General features: G+C 39.3%; 1 protein-coding gene across 24 annotated transcripts in view, besides 1 other annotated feature; it reads left to right on the top strand.

Annotated features, from left to right (window-relative positions):
- DOCK10 (dedicator of cytokinesis 10) overlaps positions 1-20,087 on the top strand; it is a 277,379-nt gene that overhangs the window by 245,203 nt on the left and 12,089 nt on the right. For 18 of the 24 annotated variants that reach the window (XM_047444930.1, XM_047444929.1, XM_047444922.1 and 15 more), the window contains 9 exons: positions 120-302; positions 840-950; positions 2,172-2,387; positions 3,809-3,866; positions 4,194-4,292; positions 8,096-8,202; positions 9,869-9,991; positions 10,131-10,244; positions 18,982-19,128. In XM_047444930.1, coding sequence (XP_047300886.1) covers positions 120-302; positions 840-950; positions 2,172-2,387; positions 3,809-3,866; positions 4,194-4,292; positions 8,096-8,202; positions 9,869-9,991; positions 10,131-10,244; positions 18,982-19,128 — 1,158 coding nt within the window. Of the gene's footprint in view, positions 1-119; positions 303-839; positions 951-2,171; positions 2,388-3,808; positions 3,867-4,193; positions 4,293-8,095; positions 8,203-9,868; positions 9,992-10,130; positions 10,245-12,523; positions 19,129-20,087 lie in introns of those variants that run through there. The other 6 variants (XM_047444926.1, XM_047444925.1, XM_047444923.1 and 3 more) reach the window with 4 other exon arrangements.
- Positions 18,554-18,653: an enhancer, noted in NCBI's record as "active region_17187". NCBI's record gives its function as "activates an Ori minimal core promoter by ATAC-STARR-seq in GM12878 lymphoblastoid cells {active_cell/tissue: GM12878}" and the evidence as "EXISTENCE:reporter gene assay evidence [ECO:0000049][PMID:35858748]".

The following is a 20,087-nucleotide window of genomic DNA, read 5'->3' as shown; positions in this document are numbered from 1 at the left end:
TAGACCAAGTTAAAAAAAAAAAGGAGAGGGATTTTGTTTTAGGGAATTTTAAAATATGAGAATGAACAGAGCAAAATGAAGGCATGTTGCTCCCTTCACCCGTTCTTCCATTTCTGCAGTTTCCTTCAGCGTTCTTTCAAGGGCCTGCTGACCTCTGTGGATCATTCTGTTACGAAGTCCTAAAATGCTGTAACCACAGGTCACGGTCAACTCAGACAGAAGCCTCAGCCCTTCTGTACTTTTTCATGAGGAAGAATTTTGAATTTAACAAGCAGAAGTCAATTGTCCGGTCCCACTTACAAGTAAGTGCTGCCAATTTTCATTAATGCTGTTGTTAAAACCACTGATCTGTTTCAGCAGTGCTTAAAGCCTACTGTCCTCAGGGCAAGCCGTCACTAACTCCTCCACTAGCGTCCTCCTTAAAGACGCCCACAGCATTCAGTTCTGTTTAATAGTAGGGGCACAGCTGGGCAGAAATCAGCAGAGCCCTATCTCCACTTGTACTTTCCTTTCTTCTGCCAGGAAATAGAATCATATGGAGTAAACAACTCAGGAAACCATGGCTAGCTCCAACAGGTCAAACCCCGCCAAATTCCAAACGTAATTTTTTTTCTTCTAGGCATCCCAAGATTCCAAGATTCCTGCAGCCTCTCTTAGGTATTTAAGATTATAGGAAACACCCTAGATTTAATAATACGTTCTGGAGCTTTAATACATAAACACTTCTTTTATTGGACCTACAGGGAGAAACTAATAATACATTTACCCAGCCCAGTGGATTTCTTTAAGAAGACTATTTCTGGTCTTGTTTTTGAGAGTTCATTTTTTTTCTTTTCTAGCTCATCAAAGCTGTGAGCCAGTTAATAGCCGATGCTGGGATTGGAGGCTCTCGGTTTCAACATTCGCTTGCAATTACCAATAATTTCGCCAATGGAGATAAGCAAATGAAAGTAAGAAATGCTTTGTGGGCTTTTACTGCAGAATTTTTTTAAATCTGAAGTGGATTCTTTTTGTGAGATATCAAAATCATAAAAATAGATTGGGTACAGTGGTTCACGCCTGTATTCCCAACACTTTGAGAAGCCAAGGCAGGAGGATCGCTTGAGGCCAGGAGTTTGAGTTGAGGCTGCAGTGAGCTATGATGGCACCATTGCACTCCAGCATGGGTAACAGAGCAAGACCTTGTCTCTAAAATAATAATAATAATAATAATAATAATTGTTTATTTTGTTTATTGAGACTTTGAGCTTTGAGCACTCCTCAAAGTAAACTATCAAGTTTATTGTTTGAATCGTTAAGCAGCTCTTACACTTTAAGCATGTGATCTGTTAAGAGGCATTCCCAATATGTGTGGTTGAATGGCCTAGAACAAGAGGATTTACCATAAATATCCAGAAATACAATGACACTCCTAACTCTATTTGGGGGAAAATTCATCTTATCTTTTGTTTAGCACTTTCTGAAGACTTCTCCTGTAGTCATTATACTGAAAAGTCCAAGTCTAGAGCCAGGCTTCAGTCATGGCTGGACCCAGGGATTAAAATAATTTTCAGACCCATCCCTCTACTGCCTCGATCTTGCCTCTCTCACTGTCTGTCAGCTCAGCTTTCCTCTTTGTTTACTTCATTTCCAGACAGGCTATCCCCCTGGGCATGTTCTCAGAAATTCTGAGGACCTTGGTAGTATCTTATGAGTAGAAAATCACCTTGTTTGATAGTTCCAATTAAAGTCCCACAACTGAATCTCTTTGATCCAAGCTTAAATAATATGCTTATCCCTAAACCAATCACTGTAGCTTGGAGGATCAAAAAATAGAATTGGCCAGGCCAGTGTTATATGCCATCCATGGTCTCTAGGAGTAAAGTCAGACCTGTTCAAATCACATGAGCTAGAGTCAGGAAGGGGAATATATCTCAAAGACAATCAGGACGTTTCACCAGAAGAAGGTGTTCTTGAAGACAAAAGAATAGAGGCTCCTGAAATGTTTATCTTCAAATGTGTGTATCCACAGTCACAAAACATAGAATGCACATATATAGAATGCACTCATTTATAACTATATATAGAATGCTCCAAACTGTGATGCGTAGCCATAATTAATAGCATAACTTAAAGTCAGTTAACCTATAGATTCTAAACAGATAATGACCCAGGCTCTCTCTTTTCCAAAGAACAGCAATTTCCCAGCAGAGGTGAAGGACCTGACTAAGCGTATAAGGACTGTTTTGATGGCCACAGCTCAGATGAAGGAGCACGAGAAGGACCCCGAGATGCTGGTGGATCTCCAGTACAGCCTGGCAAACTCCTACGCAAGCACTCCTGAACTACGCAGGACCTGGCTGGAAAGTATGGCCAAGATTCATGCCAGAAACGGAGATTTATCTGAGGTGATTAGCCAAGGCTTGGTCATTTACCATCAGTATTGTCCTCTTTATCAGGAAAATTGGATTTTCATTTACAGCATGGACTAGAAAAGGATGCCATGTTTTTCAACTAATCTAGAAATGACTCAGTTATATATCATATACAATACATTTCCATATAGCATTCAAGGATACCTAACGCTAAGTAAATGATATCAAATAAAGGCCAGAGTCAGTGGGGGCAACTGCAGGTGTAGAAATTGTAATGCAACGCTGAATGCTAAAAACCTGAGGCTAAGGAGGGGTGTGGTAAGGGTGTCTGGGAATTGAGTCGTTAAATTAATGTTCTGTGTTTTAAAACTTCTTCTCTGCAACTAGAGTTGAATGGGGAAGCTTGCCACCATAGTGAGTTAACTCAGGCAGGGGGAATCAGTCCTCATTTACAGCTAGTTTGAACTGGCCATGGAAAAATGAATGATCCTTAGCACCATGTGAGGAGAGTCCACTGCACGAGGATTATAAGTCAACACTTAACTTTTTATGTCAGTTTCAATACTGGGTGGATCATAAGCAGCAATTCATAGCACCCAAGGTCTTCTTAGTACCAAATGGGAAGTTCTACGCTATTCTGGAACTATGTCCCTTTGGGGAAGAGATTAATTTGTCTAGGATAGTCCTAAACTCTGAAGCTCTTCTAAACACATGTGGTAATCAGGGACTCTGGAATGGAAACCAGAAGGCTGGCTTGGCAGCAATTTAGTGAGGACAAGAATGAGAAGCCCTTGGGCTGCTCTGAAAATGATGAAATTTCTCCATAAAACCTCAAAAGGAAAAAGCTGAAGTCATTTGGAATCTTTAGCAAGTCGAGTTTTAATATGTGTTCAGCAACGTTCAGGGCTTCATAAGAGACAGATTAAAATATAACATCAGCCATATAATCTAGTTTGTGGGGAGCACGGGTGTTACATTGTGTCACACTAGTCAATCAAGTACTCGTGAGGTGACCATTTTAAAGGCAACACAAATTCAGAGGGGCTATTCCAGGAGGTTAAAAAAAAACTTATTTAGAAGGCAGATATTTTTATTTCCACTTTATATCTAAATACTAGAGTTATAGTTTTAATTTTAAAAGGAGACTTATGATTTATTTTTAATCTAGGCTTAGACTTTAAGGGAGGAAGAGAATTCTATGGGAAAATTCTTTGGGCCAGCTCCTTCACCCATCTCCAAACTAACCAAGAACAAACAAACAAAAACCCAAATATTCATTTTATTCTTGATGGTGAATTTTTTTGGAAATACAATTGATCCTTGCTTTCAATTTGGTGATTACAAAGGATCCTTCTAACATATTCTGATATGGAATACTGACTCGCCTTGGAAGATTAGCCCTAATTATATTAAACTCCATCCCCTGAGCCTCTTTATTTTCTTTCTCATTACAGGCTGCCATGTGTTACATCCATATTGCTGCTCTCATTGCAGAGTATCTGAAAAGAAAGGGTAAGATGACCACATGAGGGAGGCAAAAAGCCTAGATATCAACACATTGAAGCCTAATAGAAATAATGTATTAATTTTACATTTTATTAATCTGTTATGTTTAAGTAATAATCGCTTTCACAGATACTTCTAATTATGCTGTACTTTAAACATTTTAAGTCTATCATGCCATTGACTTATTTATTCTATGTACAGCAAAGGCTAACTGGATGGTCAACTTCTTAGTTCAAAACGAGAATGCATCATTGGCTAACGATTTGTAGTCTCTAAAGCTTGTATTAACATAAACATGTAGCAATGTCCTAACCTCATCTTGCACTACCATAGGTTACTGGAAAGTGGAAAAGATTTGCACAGCATCCCTGCTCTCGGAGGATACCCACCCCTGTGATAGCAACTCATTACTAACAACTCCCAGTGGAGGAAGTGAGTGACCTAACTGCTCATTTATCCCAATGCAGAGGAAATCCACTTGCTGCTCAAATTCTACTTCAGTGAAACCTTCTTAAATATATTCTTAGAAGCAAAAACTGTCTCAGATCTACCCAACTTACTCTGCAAAAAACTTAAACTCCTGCCATTCAGAAATCCCATCCAAAATTTATAAAATTTAAATAACTGAAAAGTTGTCAGCAAATAGAACTGTATGTTCTCCAACATTCAAGTTTATGAGTTACAGCCATATTTAGCTACCAATCTGCATGCCAGTCTGCCATAGGGATGTTTATTCTGAAATTGGTAAATTGTTTGAAATTGCAAGAGGAATCTATTTTAATTTTTAAATGTAATAAAACTGTTTATTCCAAATAAAAGATAGGGCCAGGCGCGGTGGCTCACGCCTGTAATCCCAGCACTTGGGAGGCCAAGGTGAGCAGATCACTTGAAGTCAGAAGTCCGAGACCAGCCTGGCCAACATGGTGAAGCCTGGTCTCTACTAAAAATACAAAATTTAGCTGGGCATGGTGGCAGGCACCTGTTATCCCAGCTACTTGGGAGACTGAAGCAGGAGAATCACTTGAACCCAGGAGGCGGAGGTTGCAGTGAGCCAAGATAGCACCACTGTACACCAGCCTGGGCAACAGAGTGAGACTCCGTCTCCAAAAAAATAAAAAGAAAAATGAAGATATATACATATATATATTCTATATATGTAGGACTTTATAATCAGCATGTTCCATTTCATTTTTAAAAAGTATAAACTGACAATTTATAACATATGGCTTATGGTACAGATTTCCTTTAGAAATATTCCATCATTAATGTCTGATTTTTTGAAATTATAATAATGACTAAAGAGTTACTCTTTGCACAAAAAAGTGAGTGATATAGTTTACACATTAAATCTACATTCAATTGCAAAAATTTGTTTGAATCCAAATTTTATGAACTGTAGTCTCTTTGATAACACTGGTTTAACTTTCCAAATGCAGTGGAAAACTCCGTGTACAAACAACATTTTTAGATGTTGAAATACATTTTTAGATGTTGAAAATCAAAAGACTTAAACGAAATGTAAATGGACTTTACTTGCTATATTTCAGAAACATAATTCATCCCTTATTCATTTAAATATTTGTATGTTTTCTAAAAGGTCTCACTGGATTTTGCATATAAGACATTTGAACTGGCCAGGTGCCATGACTCACGCCTGTAATCCCAGCACTTTGGGAGACCAAGGCAGGTGGATCACAAGGTCAGGAGTTCAAGACCAGCCTGGCCAAGATGATGAAACCCCGTCTCTACTAAAAATACAAAAAAAAAAAAAAAATTAGCCGGGCGTGGTGGCAGGTGCCTATAAATCCCAGCTACTCAGGAGGCTGAGGCAGAGAATTGCTTGAACCCAGGAGGTGGAGGTTGCAGCGAGCTGAGATCACGCCACTGCACTCTAGCCTGGACAACAGAGCAAGACTCCATCTCAAAAAAAAAAAAAAGACTTTTGAACCAAATGACCAAAGCAAACTGAGAGACAGTGAGGTCACTTGTTTAAGGACCTTGGAGAAGAAGCCAGATGTGGCACCCTATGGCACCCATGGCTCATGTCCACCCAAAAATTCAGGAATCTTCTTGCTTAGTGTCACACTTCCTATGTAGCCTGATATTTATATGCATGTCATCAAACACATCATTGCCTTATTTAACATGCCCTTCCTCCTCATCTATTGCTTATCATAACCAGATGCCGTAACGTTCCATAAAGACTTTCAAATTCTAAGAACAAAATTGAAGAAAACCAGTAAAGGCAGGTGTTAGTTTGAGAACTTGTGGAAACTTAGATACCAAAAAGTTGTGTGAATCTTTAATATTCAAAATGCTTTAAATGCCCAATGTTAGACCTAAGGTGATATGAGAATATAATGTATGTCCATCAAGAAAAGGATATATTTGTTGAGTAAACTTTAAAATTAGGAAGGTGATCATCTATGATACATTAACATATATCTGATGATACATTAGCTGATGATATATGCTATGATATATTAGCATATTCTAATTAGCATATATCATCAGCATATATGGGAATGTCATTGGCATGTATTTGAAGCCCTTAATATACTTTTCTATTTTGATATTTTTGAGTCAAAGGAGTAAATTATCCCTTCCCTACAATGTTCACAATTGTATGAATATAGGTGAAGATAGGCGACCCCAGAAAGTACAGCTGCTTCAGTTGTACTAATAAGTAATCATCATCCTGCAAGAAGTATGTTGTGACTTCTCCTACAATTAACTATCATATAGTTTAATATATGTTTAATATTATTATAAAAAGTAGAAAAATAAAATTTATTTAGAAGCAAGGATTAGATTGCAATAATTATTATATTTATAATTTCTAGCATGTTTGGGGAGTGATCATTTAGTTACATAACCAATGAGCTGATTATTAAAAACAAAAACATGCCACAAAAGTATTAGCTATAACTTAAAAAGCACTTGCTACATAGAAGGCACCACACTAAGCCCTGTACCAGCAATGTCTCAGTTAGTTGCCAGTTACAAATCTGTGAGTTAGGTGCTATTATCACCTCCTGTTTATGGGTGAGAAAAACAAGAGAAGCTAAACAATCTGCCCCAAATGTCATGGTTAGCTTGTGTTGGAGCCAAAGTGCAGGGGCTGGTCTGTCACTCCGGCTAGTGCTCCTAGTCACTCACATTCCCCACAATTCAGATCTATCTCTCCTCTGGGAATGTTACCCATTATCAACTGTTTTCACATGTATCTGTAGAGACAGACCTTTTAAAATCTTGGTGCCTAAGATACTAAGAAAATTTGAAAAGGTTTCTACATAATGTAAAAGAGTGAAATATAGCAAGTATTGGCCAGGCGCAGTGGCTCACGCCTGTAATCCCAACACTTCAGGAGGCTGAGGCGGGCAGATCACCTGAGGTCAGTAGTTTAAGACCAGCCTAGCCAACATGGTGAAACCCCGTCTCTACTAAAAATACAAAAATTAGCTGGGCGTGGTGGCGGGCACCTGTAATGCCAGCTACTCAGGAGGCTGAGGCAGGAGAATCGCTTGAACCCGGGAGGCGGAGGTTGCAGTGAGCCGAGATGGCACCATTGCACTCCAGCCTGGGCAACAAGAGTGAAACTCCGTCTCAAAAAAAAAAAAAGCAAGTATTGGGCATTGTCTTGTCTTTTTGGGGGCCACTGTGGGAGAGATAGGGTCTCACTCCGTCACCCAGGCTGGAGTACAATGGCATGGTGATAGCTCACTCCAGCCCCAAACTCCTAGGCTCAAGCAATCCTCCTGTCTCAGCCTCCTAAGTAGCTGGGATTACAGGCACCCACACACCCACCTACAAGCATTGTCTTTATAATGTGCTGAGTGTACTGGGTATTTTCTCAAATATTAATGTTTTGAATCCTTTCAACATCCTTTGAGAGAGATATTAATGTCCCCAGTTTAACAAGAGAGGGACACAGTCTCCGAGATTAAACCAGAAGATTGGAACCGCAACATCTACCCACGAATCTTATGTTCTATCCATAATCCCATGCTATTTCTTTATAAAAAATGCCACCTGAAAATGATACAAAAATTATAAAAAGGGGAATATTGTTTGCCTGGCAGAGCGCATTTATCAATAGTCATAATCTAACCATCTTGTTGATTGTGTGAGCTTTGTAATACTACCACTTGGTAACATCATGAAGAAAGGCATTATCTAATCTAAGCAAAATTTGTCTCAAATAATAATGTTTTATTCTGCTTGGTCCTCCCAAGGCATGTTCTCTATGGGATGGCCAGCTTTTTTGAGCATTACACCAAACATTAAGGAAGAAGGAGCGATGAAAGAGGATTCTGGAATGCAAGATACACCATACAATGAGGTTAGACCAAAATTATCTCATGTACAGTAACGAAGGAAAGAGATGCATTGGCTTGTGACATTAAGCTAAATAAGGGGGAAACAAGCTTACAGCTATTTTATAATATAACTTAATTAGACAAAATGAAATGCAGGCTAAAATTAAGCCAAGATTAGTAGATACCAGATTTCAGCGAAAATTTAAACTAAGTCTTACTTCTCTAAGATGGACTCAAATGTATATTATCAGCTCTTCTATCAGATAAAATCTTGGCTTTTTGGTAAAGGTGATAAGGGATGCTAAATTTTGCGAACTGATCATAGCTTTCTTTCTAAAAGCATTAGCAAGTTTATTTACAAATGCAGGTGGACGTAAAAGTTCACTAGTTTCTTTAGAAAACCTTCTGTTATGGAAAATAACCAGAGTTATTTTTCATTAATTAAAAAAAGAAACTTTCTACTGAGAATTACTTAGCAATAGTTCTGGTGAAGAAAATAGAACTCCTCTCATTAAGTAAAATATTTTATAAGCTGATTTTTAGGTCAGTATTACATAAATGGAAAAAATTATACAGAAAGTAAATTTTCAGATGAATTTTAATACAATTTTACAAATGGTTCTACACCAATTTAGCATATATTGCAAATAAACGAAGTAAATATAATTACATATTTATGTTAACTACTTTAAATAATGTTTAAGAACCTTTTCTTAAAACAAATTGTTGAAAACATTCCAATAATATCATACATTTGCTTTAAAGCTTATATAACTTTATTCAGTTGAAAATTTATTAAACCACTAGTATATGAAAGGAATTGAGGTAAGGGCTGGGAAAAAAAATAAGGCATAATTCCTGCTCTCAAAGAATTTAGGATCTTGAGAAAGACAGAGTTCCTACAGGGTGGGGAATGGCCAGGCAAAAACAGATGCCCAGTGGCCAAATCTAGGTATCATATACAGTTGCAATCAGAAGGGGAACTTTTTTTTTTACATGGAAGTGTTGAAATGGTGATGAATGGAATGTAAATAAAAGCTCTTCATTTTTTTTTGTGCTGAGTCTTGATAGGACTTGAAGGTGTGAAATAAGGTTCTTATAGGTGCATCTATAACACAGATAAAAGTATGGAGGTCAGAGGGTATTCTAATAATGGAGTGGTATATGGTATGGCCAAGGTGCAAAGTCAGTGACAGAGCATTGAAAGAAGGGGTCACTGAGAGGGAGGTTGGTGCCTGATTGTGGAGCTTCTTGAAGGCCATGCTAGAGTTTGGACAGCAGTTTACATACTGGAGTTCCCACAAAGGTTTAAGGCACTGGAGATCTCATGATCAGATTTATGTTTTACAAAGAAAGATTACAGGAGAGCAGCAATTGGAGAGGGAAAACAGACTCGCTCAAAACTATAGCAGGGGTCAGGGAGTACGAAGTCAGTAGCAGTGGGAATGGGAAGAAGGAGACAGATCTGAAGGCATTTCACAGATTTAAATTAGCACTTTTGGGGCACGAATTAGGTAACGGCAGTGCGGGATAGGCAAGAATCCAAGATGACACCACGATCCCCTGCTGGGTTTTAAATGCCAGTAACAGAGGGAAAAGTTTGACAATGCAACAGCTTGGAAACCAAGTTTCAGGCATGAGCCACAACCCTAATCATGTAAAATCTTATTTTGATTGGGGGAATTGCAGAATATCCTGGTGGAGCAGCTATACATGTGTGTGGAGTTTCTCTGGAAGTCTGAGCGATATGAACTCATTGCTGATGTCAACAAGCCCATCATTGCTGTCTTTGAGAAACAACGAGACTTCAAAGTATGTATTCCAACCCCCTAGAAGTTAATTAAAATATCCTATGTTGAATTGGAAAATTACTTACAGTTTTCAAAATTAAAAACTCCCTTATTTGTATGACAGCATCATCTTCATGAAACTCTTTCACTTATGGTTTCAGAAATTGTCAGATCTCTACTACGACATTCATCGGTCATATCTGAAAGTGGCAGAGGTGGTGAATTCGGAGAAGCGGCTGTTTGGTCGCTACTATCGTGTGGCATTTTATGGGCAGGTAAGTTCACCAGAAATAACACGGCCCATAAATTCTGCTGAGCAGTTGAATGTTGTCTTTCATTCTTTATGAGACATCTGTGTGTACCAGTGAATGGAGAGGTGTGGGTGTGTCTGACTATACTTGAGTGTTTCTCTGGATGTGATGGTCTATATGTTTATCCATAGGAATGTACAAAGTTGGGAAACAAGTGAGCAAAGAAATCCATGGGTTGAGTTAACAGTGATTTCTAACTTCTTGAAGAAAGAGGGCATTTATTTTTCAACACTCTCTTCTTTCCAGCTCACCCTAAAATATCTAATTATAAGTTTACGCCATATATTAAAGTGAAATTAAATTGAATATGTTTTAAGAAATAACATTCCTAATATTCTAGGAAATAAGAGAATTCCTAGGGGCTCCACCATATCAAACCTTTGATTTTACTATCACACAATTTCTTTTCTCCTATTTTCGAACTACCACTGTTTCTAGACAAAATACCAGATGGTTATTTTGTTTCCTATATTGCAAGTCAATGTAATTTCAAAGTTGTTTTTCCCAGTTTGCTGCATAAGCAATGAAGAAGATGGAAAATATTACTTAGCCACAGTGTTGGCCTGAAAGTGAACATACTATATATTAATTATGAATGTCTCTGAGCAACATTTTCAATGGGCTAAACCCAGGCACCATTCATTTTCTTTTCAGGAAGGCTTATAACGCTATTATATTTCAGCAGACGTATTTTAGACTGTTGCTTGTGTGGATAGACATCCCATGCTTTTATTTTCGGAATGGCAGTGGCTCTCAGACCTCACACTTCCTCTGCCCCCAGCCCATCATCTCGCTCAGTAGCCCAGGCTGGAGTGCAGTGCAGTGGCGTGATCTCGGCTCACTGCAACCTCCGCCTCCTGGGTCCCGGTTCAAGCAATTCTCCTGCCTCAGCCTCCCGAGTAGCTGGGATTACAGGCAGGTGCCACCATGCCCAGCTAATTTTTGTATTTTTTAGTAGAGACAGGGTTTCATTATGTTGGCCAGGCTGGTCTTGAACTCCTGACCTCATGATCCACCCACCTTAGTCTTCCAAAATGCTGGGATTACAGGCGTGAGCCACCACACCCGGCCTCAGCTTCTTGTTCTTAAGGTTGCAGCTGAAGGAGTCAACTCCAGCATGTTCATTCTAGGTCAATCCCCATTGAAGTCGTTTGAAAAATACATATTTTCCTCTGCTCACCAAAGGCAGCTTAAAAACTAACCTCTGGGCTGGGCGCCATGGCTCACGCCTGTAATCCAGTACTTTGAGAGGCTGAGGCGGGCGGATCACGAGGTCAGGAGATCGAGACCATCCTGGCTAACATGGTGAAACCCCATCTCTACTAAAAATACAAAAAATTAGCCGGGTGTGGTGGCAGGCGTCTGTAGTCCCAGCTACTCAGGAGACTGAGGCAGGAGAATGGCGTGAACCCAGGAGGCAGAGCTTGCAGTGAGCCGAGATCGCGCCACTGCACTCTAGACTGGGTGACAGAGTGAGACTCCATCAAAGAAAGAAAAAGCTAACCTTTGAATTAATAAAGGCAGATACTTTCTACCTGGAAAAGATAAGTATCACCAAGTAGCCATTTATTATAAACAAATTAATCCAGCCGGGATTTTTCTCAGGACACAGGAATATCAGGATAGTGGAGACAGAGAAACGAATGGTCTGAAAAATGGGGATCTGCATAAACAATCTATACCAAAAAAAAAAGCAAATTTAGACATTTTTGGGGTCCATGGAAAAGAATCTGAACTATCTGAAGTGAGAACACACATTGGGAGAGAGAGAAGTGTGAGAACCTTCAGAAGAGGAAGAGAGAGAAGAGAAAATGGCATTTTGGAGCCATTTTGGAAGCCATGAAGAAAATATACAATTTGTGACATTGGTGAGACAGCAAGAAAAATGGCAGAAAATGCTATGAGTCGGGAAGGGGATGTGGGAGCAGAAGAATTGAAAGGGAAAAACAGAGTTTCAAGGGAGATGGCCACAGGCTAACTGAGCAGCACAGAAGTAGCACAAAAGATGTGCTTCTGGGTCACCAAGACATGACTCTATAAAGCCTCAGGCATTCCTTCCAATGAAAAAGTAAAAAACCCCGTTAATAACCTGATCATGAAAACAGGATTGCCTACCAGATGGTTTCTGCAACCAATATATGAGATATGGGCTCTAAAGCAGGTAGAAGTGAATCACGCTGCTTTTCAAATAGTTTTTAATGCAGATGTTTACTCTTTTCTTCTTTTGGTCTTGATTGTTCCAGGCTGTGGTAAGTTCTCACTCACTCTCGCTCTCCATTTGCATGCTCTAACACCCCTCACACTTCCCTCTGTATGGTTTTACTGAACCTTAACCTTTTTGTGCAAATCACCATTTGGTACAAAGGGAGAGATAATCCTGCTTTCATTCATTTTTGGAGTCATCCTGCATTTCTTTAACTAAGTTGTGTTTATGCCAGTTATCTGAATTACAAAAATGTATCCTTTGTTTTTCATACATGCTTTCTGCCTAAAGGTAGATGTAGTCTGAAAGCCTTACATACACAAACACACACAGAGATAAGTATGGGTACCACGTATCTTAAATATATGTAGCATAGACTTGGTATTGTAGATCGTCTACTTATTTCAGGCCACTATGAGTTGCAGCTTATTAAGGAGACCAGAATGGTCAGAATTTTGGAAGTTGGAGTGATGGTTATTGGTAAGCACCTCCCAAGATATTGAAAAAACTGTGTTTTTTCTGAAGGAGTGTCTTAGAGTGATGGGGGTCTATGGTGGTGAGCTCTAAGCATTCTCAGAGGTGATGGGACTAATTCCAAACATAAAAGATGAACCAGGGAATAAATCTTTACCCAATATGTCTGGGTAAGTCTCCAGAGATGGAGAAAGGAGCAAGGTAAGAAATTTGGAGAACAAGCCATGTCCAAAATAACCTGCCAGTACCCAGAGCTCTATGACAAAGGATTTTCTTCATATTATTTTGAGTCATATGAAATTGCCTATATTCAACCACTTTTTTATGTACAAAAATGGCAACTTTATATGGTTCAACCTAATTATTGTCAGTTAAGCTGGAAAGAGAAAGCATTTAATATCTACACATTGTCCATATTCAGCCCTACTTGTCTGACCAGTACATACTTTTTTGTAATTCTTTAAATTCCTTCCCACATTCATACCATACCAGCATTTTCTATGTTCATTTATAAATTTGGGATTATGGGCCCTTAACTCACCTACTAAAAGAATACTTGAAAACCCCTGTACTAAATAGACTGAGGGGGGGCAGTGGGGAAGTATTGGGGGGAGCCCTTGCAAATGACCTAACTTTATTCTTCTTTCAGACTCCTCAGTAAAGTGTGCTGATTTTACACCTGATTTTTTTTTTAATGCTGCAGTACTCTCACTTGTCTTTATAAAAAAATTCCAAGGCTGGGCGCGGTGGCTCACACCTGTAATCCCAGCACTTTGGGAGGCCGAGGTGGGCAGATCACAAGGTCAGGAGATGAAGACCATCCTGGCTAACACAGTGAAACCCTGTCTCTACTAAAAATACAAAAAATTAGTAGGACGTGGTGGCGAGCGCCTGTAATCCCAGCTACTCGGGAGGCTGAAGCAGGAGAATGGCGTGAACCCTGGAGGTGGAGCTTGCAGTGAGCCAAGATCGTGCCACTGCACTCCAGCCTGGGAGACAGAGTGAGACTCTGCCTCAAGAAAAAAAAAAAAAAAATTCCAGTCTGAGCTTAAAAGGCAAAGTGTTTTGTTAAATTCTCTGACTGAGAACCTGCCTAAGCACGACACTCCATAAGTTCAAACTCAGCCACCTTTGAACAAGGAGAACCAATGGAGGTCATCCTGATAAGCAGCAAATTAGAGCCTCATTCATCATTGCTCAGATGAGATTCAAATGCCTGTCTCAAGACACCACATGGAGAGTGAGAACTATGGGATTCAACAGGAGCAGACAGCACATATCACTTCACATTCCATGATAAATAAATACCAAGTAGACTTGAGCATTCCCCCGAACGTGTACAGAATGAAGGTTCCGAAGATTTAAGATAAAATCTTGACTACTTGATTAGCATAATCTCCATGGTCAGAAATGATTTCTTATTCATAATGGTGCTTTATGTCCCTGTAAAACTTACCTTTTAATATCCAAGTTGACGTGTCTTGCAATGATGTTAAAAAGATTATGGAAATATGATATGCAATAGGCTCTTTGCCTGCACAAAGGCCTTTGGGTACAATTTTTTAGTGTCCCACGCAGACCACTGCTCTCATTTTATAGTTTTGGCTGGGGTATTTAATACTAATTGTGTCTGTAATGAGCCAGACACTAGAAAACAAGTTTAAAACTGATCGTTCATAGCAGGAACTTTAAAAAAATGCAAGTCTTGCACAACATGAATTGTCTAATGCAACACCCGGCATCAGCATCAATATGGAAATTTGACATATAGCAGCCTATACAAAGTGTCCTCCAAAGTGTCCCTGAGGTATTGATTTCCATAGTAATGAAACAGCAGCAGTGAGCAAACATCGACTATAATCAATGAAGTCCTTAGGCCCTGGTATTTAACATGAAAGCAAGTGAATACCCATTACATAACTTAAAATATCAGATGCCCCTGGAATTAATTAAGTAAAAGACCTGGAAGAATTTTATTCTATCCACCAAAGGCCATAGATTCCATAATTTGCAGTCATGCCTATATGGGTGTACTTGCATCTCAGGATCTTAATAAAAAAGGAGTTTGGGGGAGGAGGGAAGGTGCAGGCGTAGTATGGAAAACCATCATCTCCACTTTGGGACATGATATAGCTCTCCACCTATAGGAAAGTCGCTGATCTAGGCCACATATCTATACTGTATAATTAAATGTCATAATTGAGTTCAGATTTATATGCTAAGAGAAGCTACATGAATGCAGAGAAATTCATTCATGTAGCTTCTCTTCTCTTAGCATTTAGCCTAGTATTGACATTTTCTGGCCTGTCTTTTGTATACTAGATTCCTCCTCAAATACATTCTTCTCTTTGTGAACTTTGAATGAGTCTAATAAAATACCAGGGGCCCTAATATTTGACAACACAGTGATGATCCAGGGACATTGCAAGATTCTGAAGTACCTGCAAAAGCATCTGAGGAGGAGTCAATGCTTTTAGTTGTCAGTTTATTGAAGTACATTTTTACCATAATGTATTGCCTTAAAGTTTCATAATCCATGCAGTCCTTGTTTAACTAGTGTGTGTTCTTTCTTGACCAGAGCAGAAGAAGGTGTTTACTGCATTGCAAAATGACATTTTAAAAATCAAACTAGCAAGGGAAGTGCAGAGATCACATTTCCCATTGCCTTGAAATGCAGTCAGCTTATAACCTTGGGGCTAAAGCAAAAGAGAAACTGACCCTGGTTTTCATAACTCTGTGTCCCTGTTTGTAAATCATTTATATCATAGACAGAGCTGAAATTGAAGCCTTCCTTCAGATAGTGTCTGTAGCTCAGTGGGCTTTGCTTTGATAGTTTCCCTGGGTATAAGGTAAGCATGCATTCCAAACATTTTCAGAGCTGCCATTTGTCTGGCTTCAAAACTCTTTACAGAAACCCCAGTGGACAGCAGAGTAAATGGTTTATTCTGCTCCTCCATCTCCTTCTTATTCATTTTACAAAACAGGTTTACATTTCCAAGCTCTTTAGAAAAAGGTTCCAATCACCAATTGATCACTTGCCAAAATATTGTAATGAGCTTCAACAGACCTTTTATAATAAGAAAAACTCAGTTGCCCAGGCAAGAGAAGCTGAAAGTATGTATTTTCGAGCACTGAAAACTGAGTTAAGCTGCATAAAAGCCAGAACTCAAATTGCTTTATAGATACAGAGATTTTTCATCATTGTTGTCATCACCACCAGCGTCATGATCATTACCATCCTCAACATAGCTAGCACTCACCAAAGGCCATCTGTTTACCAAGCGCGGTCCTTACAGCCTCCCAGTAAGTAGGTTGCTGAGTCTGAATTTTCCCATCCCACAGCCCAAGGAGGAGGGATGAAAGAAAGTCACAGGTTATGAGCAAGGCCGCAATACATTTTTTTTTTTTTTAGACAGAGTCTCACTGTGTCACCCAGGCTGGAGTGCAGTGGCTCGAACTTGGCTCACTGCAACCTCCGCCTCCTGGATTCAAGCGATTCTCCTGCCTCAGCCTCCTGAGTAGCTGGGACTACAGGCGTGTGTCACCATGCCCAGCTAATTTTTGTATTTTTAGAGAGACGGGGTTTCACTGTGTTGGCCAGGATGGTCTCGATCTCTTGTACTTTGTGATCCGCCCACCTCGGACTCCCAAAGTGCTGGGATTGCAGGCGTGAACCACCGCACCCAGCCGATGATGACAATTTTTACCTGCCTCCCACCACTCATTTTCTGCTCACTCTAGATTCGGAAATTTGTCAGGGGAAAAATTTTACAGTGAAAATGTGTCTTTGTACTAGTTTTCACACTATGGTGAAAAAGAAAAAATCTTTTCCTGAACCTTAGAGACATTTTTCTACTTGAAATTGAAGTTGCAAATGTTGCTTCAGCTTTAGCCCCATGAGGATTCGCCTGAAAGCTTCAGAAGCCTTATTTCTCTGATGTGTCAGTCTGTCAATTGTAGCCACTAACTCCTGACCTTGAATCAGACAAAACTCCACAAAGACAGCAACAGAAAAAAAACATAGCAGGCTGGAAGTCATGTGGGAGTGGAGTCAGACCTCACTACCCCTACAAAGTCTACAGGAATGACAGGAGCTGCTTTACATGCTTTCAACATCATATGACACTTTGTAGCAGTTTGGGGTCAAGGCATTTATAATTACTTGCATTTTGTCTTGAACATTTCTCGAAGAAATTGTTCAATAAAAACATCTTTATTTAAAGCCGTGGACTATTTTCCAGTTATGCCTGGTACACATACGCCTTTTTAAGATGTGTGCCCTTTAAGAACTCTTTCATTCATCTGCTTGTTCAACAAATAGAGTGACCTCCTCCTAAAGACCAGGCATTGTGCTAAACACTGGGCATGCAATGTTGAAGACACATTTCCCACCTTTAGAAAGCCCAAAGTCAATTAGGGAGATGTGCAAGGAAGCAGGTGATTACCTGATTGCCAAGAATTCTGCTATGGAGTAGACCTTGTTCATTGGCTTCTGCAAAGGTACAGCCACAGCCCACTTAGAATAAAAATTACCCTGTTAAAGATGATCCTATTTACATGTATGAAAGTGCTTTTGAAGTATAAAGCATCATACAGATGTGAGTTTAATCAATATTCTTATATTGTCTCACCATGAAAAAATAATAGCACTGGAACACTTTGCCTATGCTTTTTTTAACAATTAATATTTTTAAATAGTCAAAACTGATTTTTTAATATGGGTAAGTTTCCTTTTGACATCCAGTGTCTTCACCCAGACCTCAAAAGGCATTTCCTTATGGGTCAACTCTACAATTAGAAGAAACCAGATATAGCCTGTAATCCCAGCACTTTAGGAGGCCGAGGTGGGTGGATCATCTGAGGTCAAGAGTTTGAGACCAGCCTGGCCAACATGGCGAAACTCCACCTTAATTAAAAACACAAAAATTAGCCGGGCGTGGTGGTACACATCTGCAGTCCCAGCTACTTGGGAGGCCAAAGTAGGAGAATCGCTTGAACCCAGGAGGCAGAGGTTGCAGTGAGCCAAGGTCACACCTCTGCACTCCAGCCTGGGCAACAGAGCAAGACTCTGCCAAAAAAAAAAAAAGAAACCAGATATCCTTGGGTTCTTAACTCCGAACTTAATCTAGTATTCTGAGGCCACATGTATTCCACAGGAAATATGCTTCTGTGTCTCTTCAAAGAGAAGGAATTATAAAGATTGCTTCACTTAGTTATCTGCAGCTAATAGAATCTTCCCTTCCCCCTGCTTCAAACCAGACAAATAAATTAATAGAGGCTAAAACCTACTTGCTCTTGTGGAATAAAAATGATGATATGATTGCTATTTTTAATCCTATAATGTCTTCCTTTTCAAGAATGTAAAAGATCTCTTAGTAAGGTGAATTGCATGATTAAGTTACATATAGGTAAGTTTCAGGAGGTCCCTGAAGTCATGTTGATGTAAAGTTATTTTTTAAATAGCAGTACTTGGGAGCATAACACATGTAATTTCTGTTACGACAACTACATAAAGTGTTGTGGTTTTTCATCTAAGATTATGTGGGATGCACGTCAGCCCATTTAAATAGCTTTACATGCCATACACCATTTCTTATGTTAGTTTCAAAGACTTACAGGAGATCTTATTAAAAATGATACTGACTGCTCTTTGAATGCTGCCAAAAATTGCTCCATATTTCGTGTTCTACCCCAAGCTGCCACAAGAGGGCATTCTTCCCCCAAAATATATGCAAGTAGGTAGTACCATTGAGTTCTACAAATAGAGAAAATAATATTTGTAAGATATTTCATGAGTTTCTTTGGCCTGGCTAGGAAATATTTACATTAATGTCTGATTATAAGATGATACTTTATTTTCTCACTGTGTTTTCTTCTCCGATTTTGAATTTTATAGGGTGTTAACCAATGGATTAGATGACAACCAAAAACTGTATATGTTTTTTAAGTAAATGGCTTTTTGTTTTGCTTTTGATTTATGATTAGCATTGTCTAATAAAATTGGTGGTTCATTATGTTCCATAGGGCTTTTTTGAAGAAGAAGAAGGTAAAGAGTATATTTATAAAGAGCCTAAGCTGACAGGTCTGTCCGAGATTTCCCAAAGATTACTCAAGCTCTATGCAGATAAATTTGGAGCAGACAATGTGAAGATAATCCAGGATTCCAACAAGGTAGAGGAAAATCAGTATTCATGCAAGTGCTAAGAATTGACTGAGTTTTTTATTCTTTAACTACATTAAGTTTTCATTTTCTGCCTGACGATGCAAAGTAAACTACAAAAACGATTTTAGATGTTTTGCTTGTTTGCCTGTTGGTTGGTAATTTGAGGGGAGGAGGGTCAAAAACATTATATGTGTTTATTTGGGTAACTTTTAAAAAGAGCTTAGTAAATTCTCTACGTCTCCATTGGTTATTTGCATTTGAATAGCAATCAAAGCCTGAAAGTAATTGGGCTCAGTGGTGGAATTGGAGAAAACAGCAAGTTGAAAATATTTATTCAGTTAAGGAAGTCTTCCCAGGCGTATTAGTCAGGGTTCTCTAGAGGAACAGGACTAACAGAATAGATGTATATATGAAAGGGAGTTTATTAAGGAGTATTGACTCACACGATCACAGGGTGGAGTCCCACAATAGGCTGTCTGCAAGCTGAGGAGCAAGGAAACCAGTTTTGTGTCCCAAAACATCAAAAGTAGGGAAGTTGACAGTGCAGCCTTCAATCTGTGACTGAAGGCCCAAGAGCCCCTGGCAGATCACTCGTGTAAGTCCAAGAGTCCAAAAGCTGAAGAACTTGGAGTCTGATGTTAGAAGGCAGGAGGCATCCAGCACAGGAGAAAGATGGAGGCCAGGGTCTTAGCCAGTCTAATCCTTCCACATTCCTCTGCCTACTTTTATCCTAGCTGTACTGGCAGCTGATTTGATGGTGCCAACCCAGATTGAGGGCAGGTCTGCCTCTCCCAGTTCACTGACTCAAATGTTAATCTCCTTTAGCGACACCCTCACGGACACACCCAGGAACAATACTTTGCATCCTTCAATCCAATCAGGTTGACATTTAATATTAACCATCACACTACGCCATACTTTACATTACATTACATTACATTAACCTTTGAACATTCAGTTACCTTCC

Source organism: Homo sapiens, chromosome 2, assembly GCF_000001405.40.
Source record: "Homo sapiens chromosome 2, GRCh38.p14 Primary Assembly".
Classification (NCBI taxonomy): Eukaryota; Metazoa; Chordata; class Mammalia; order Primates; family Hominidae; genus Homo; species Homo sapiens.
The sequence above is the reverse complement of the archived record's forward strand: the minus strand, read 5'-3'. Positions and strand labels throughout refer to the sequence as shown.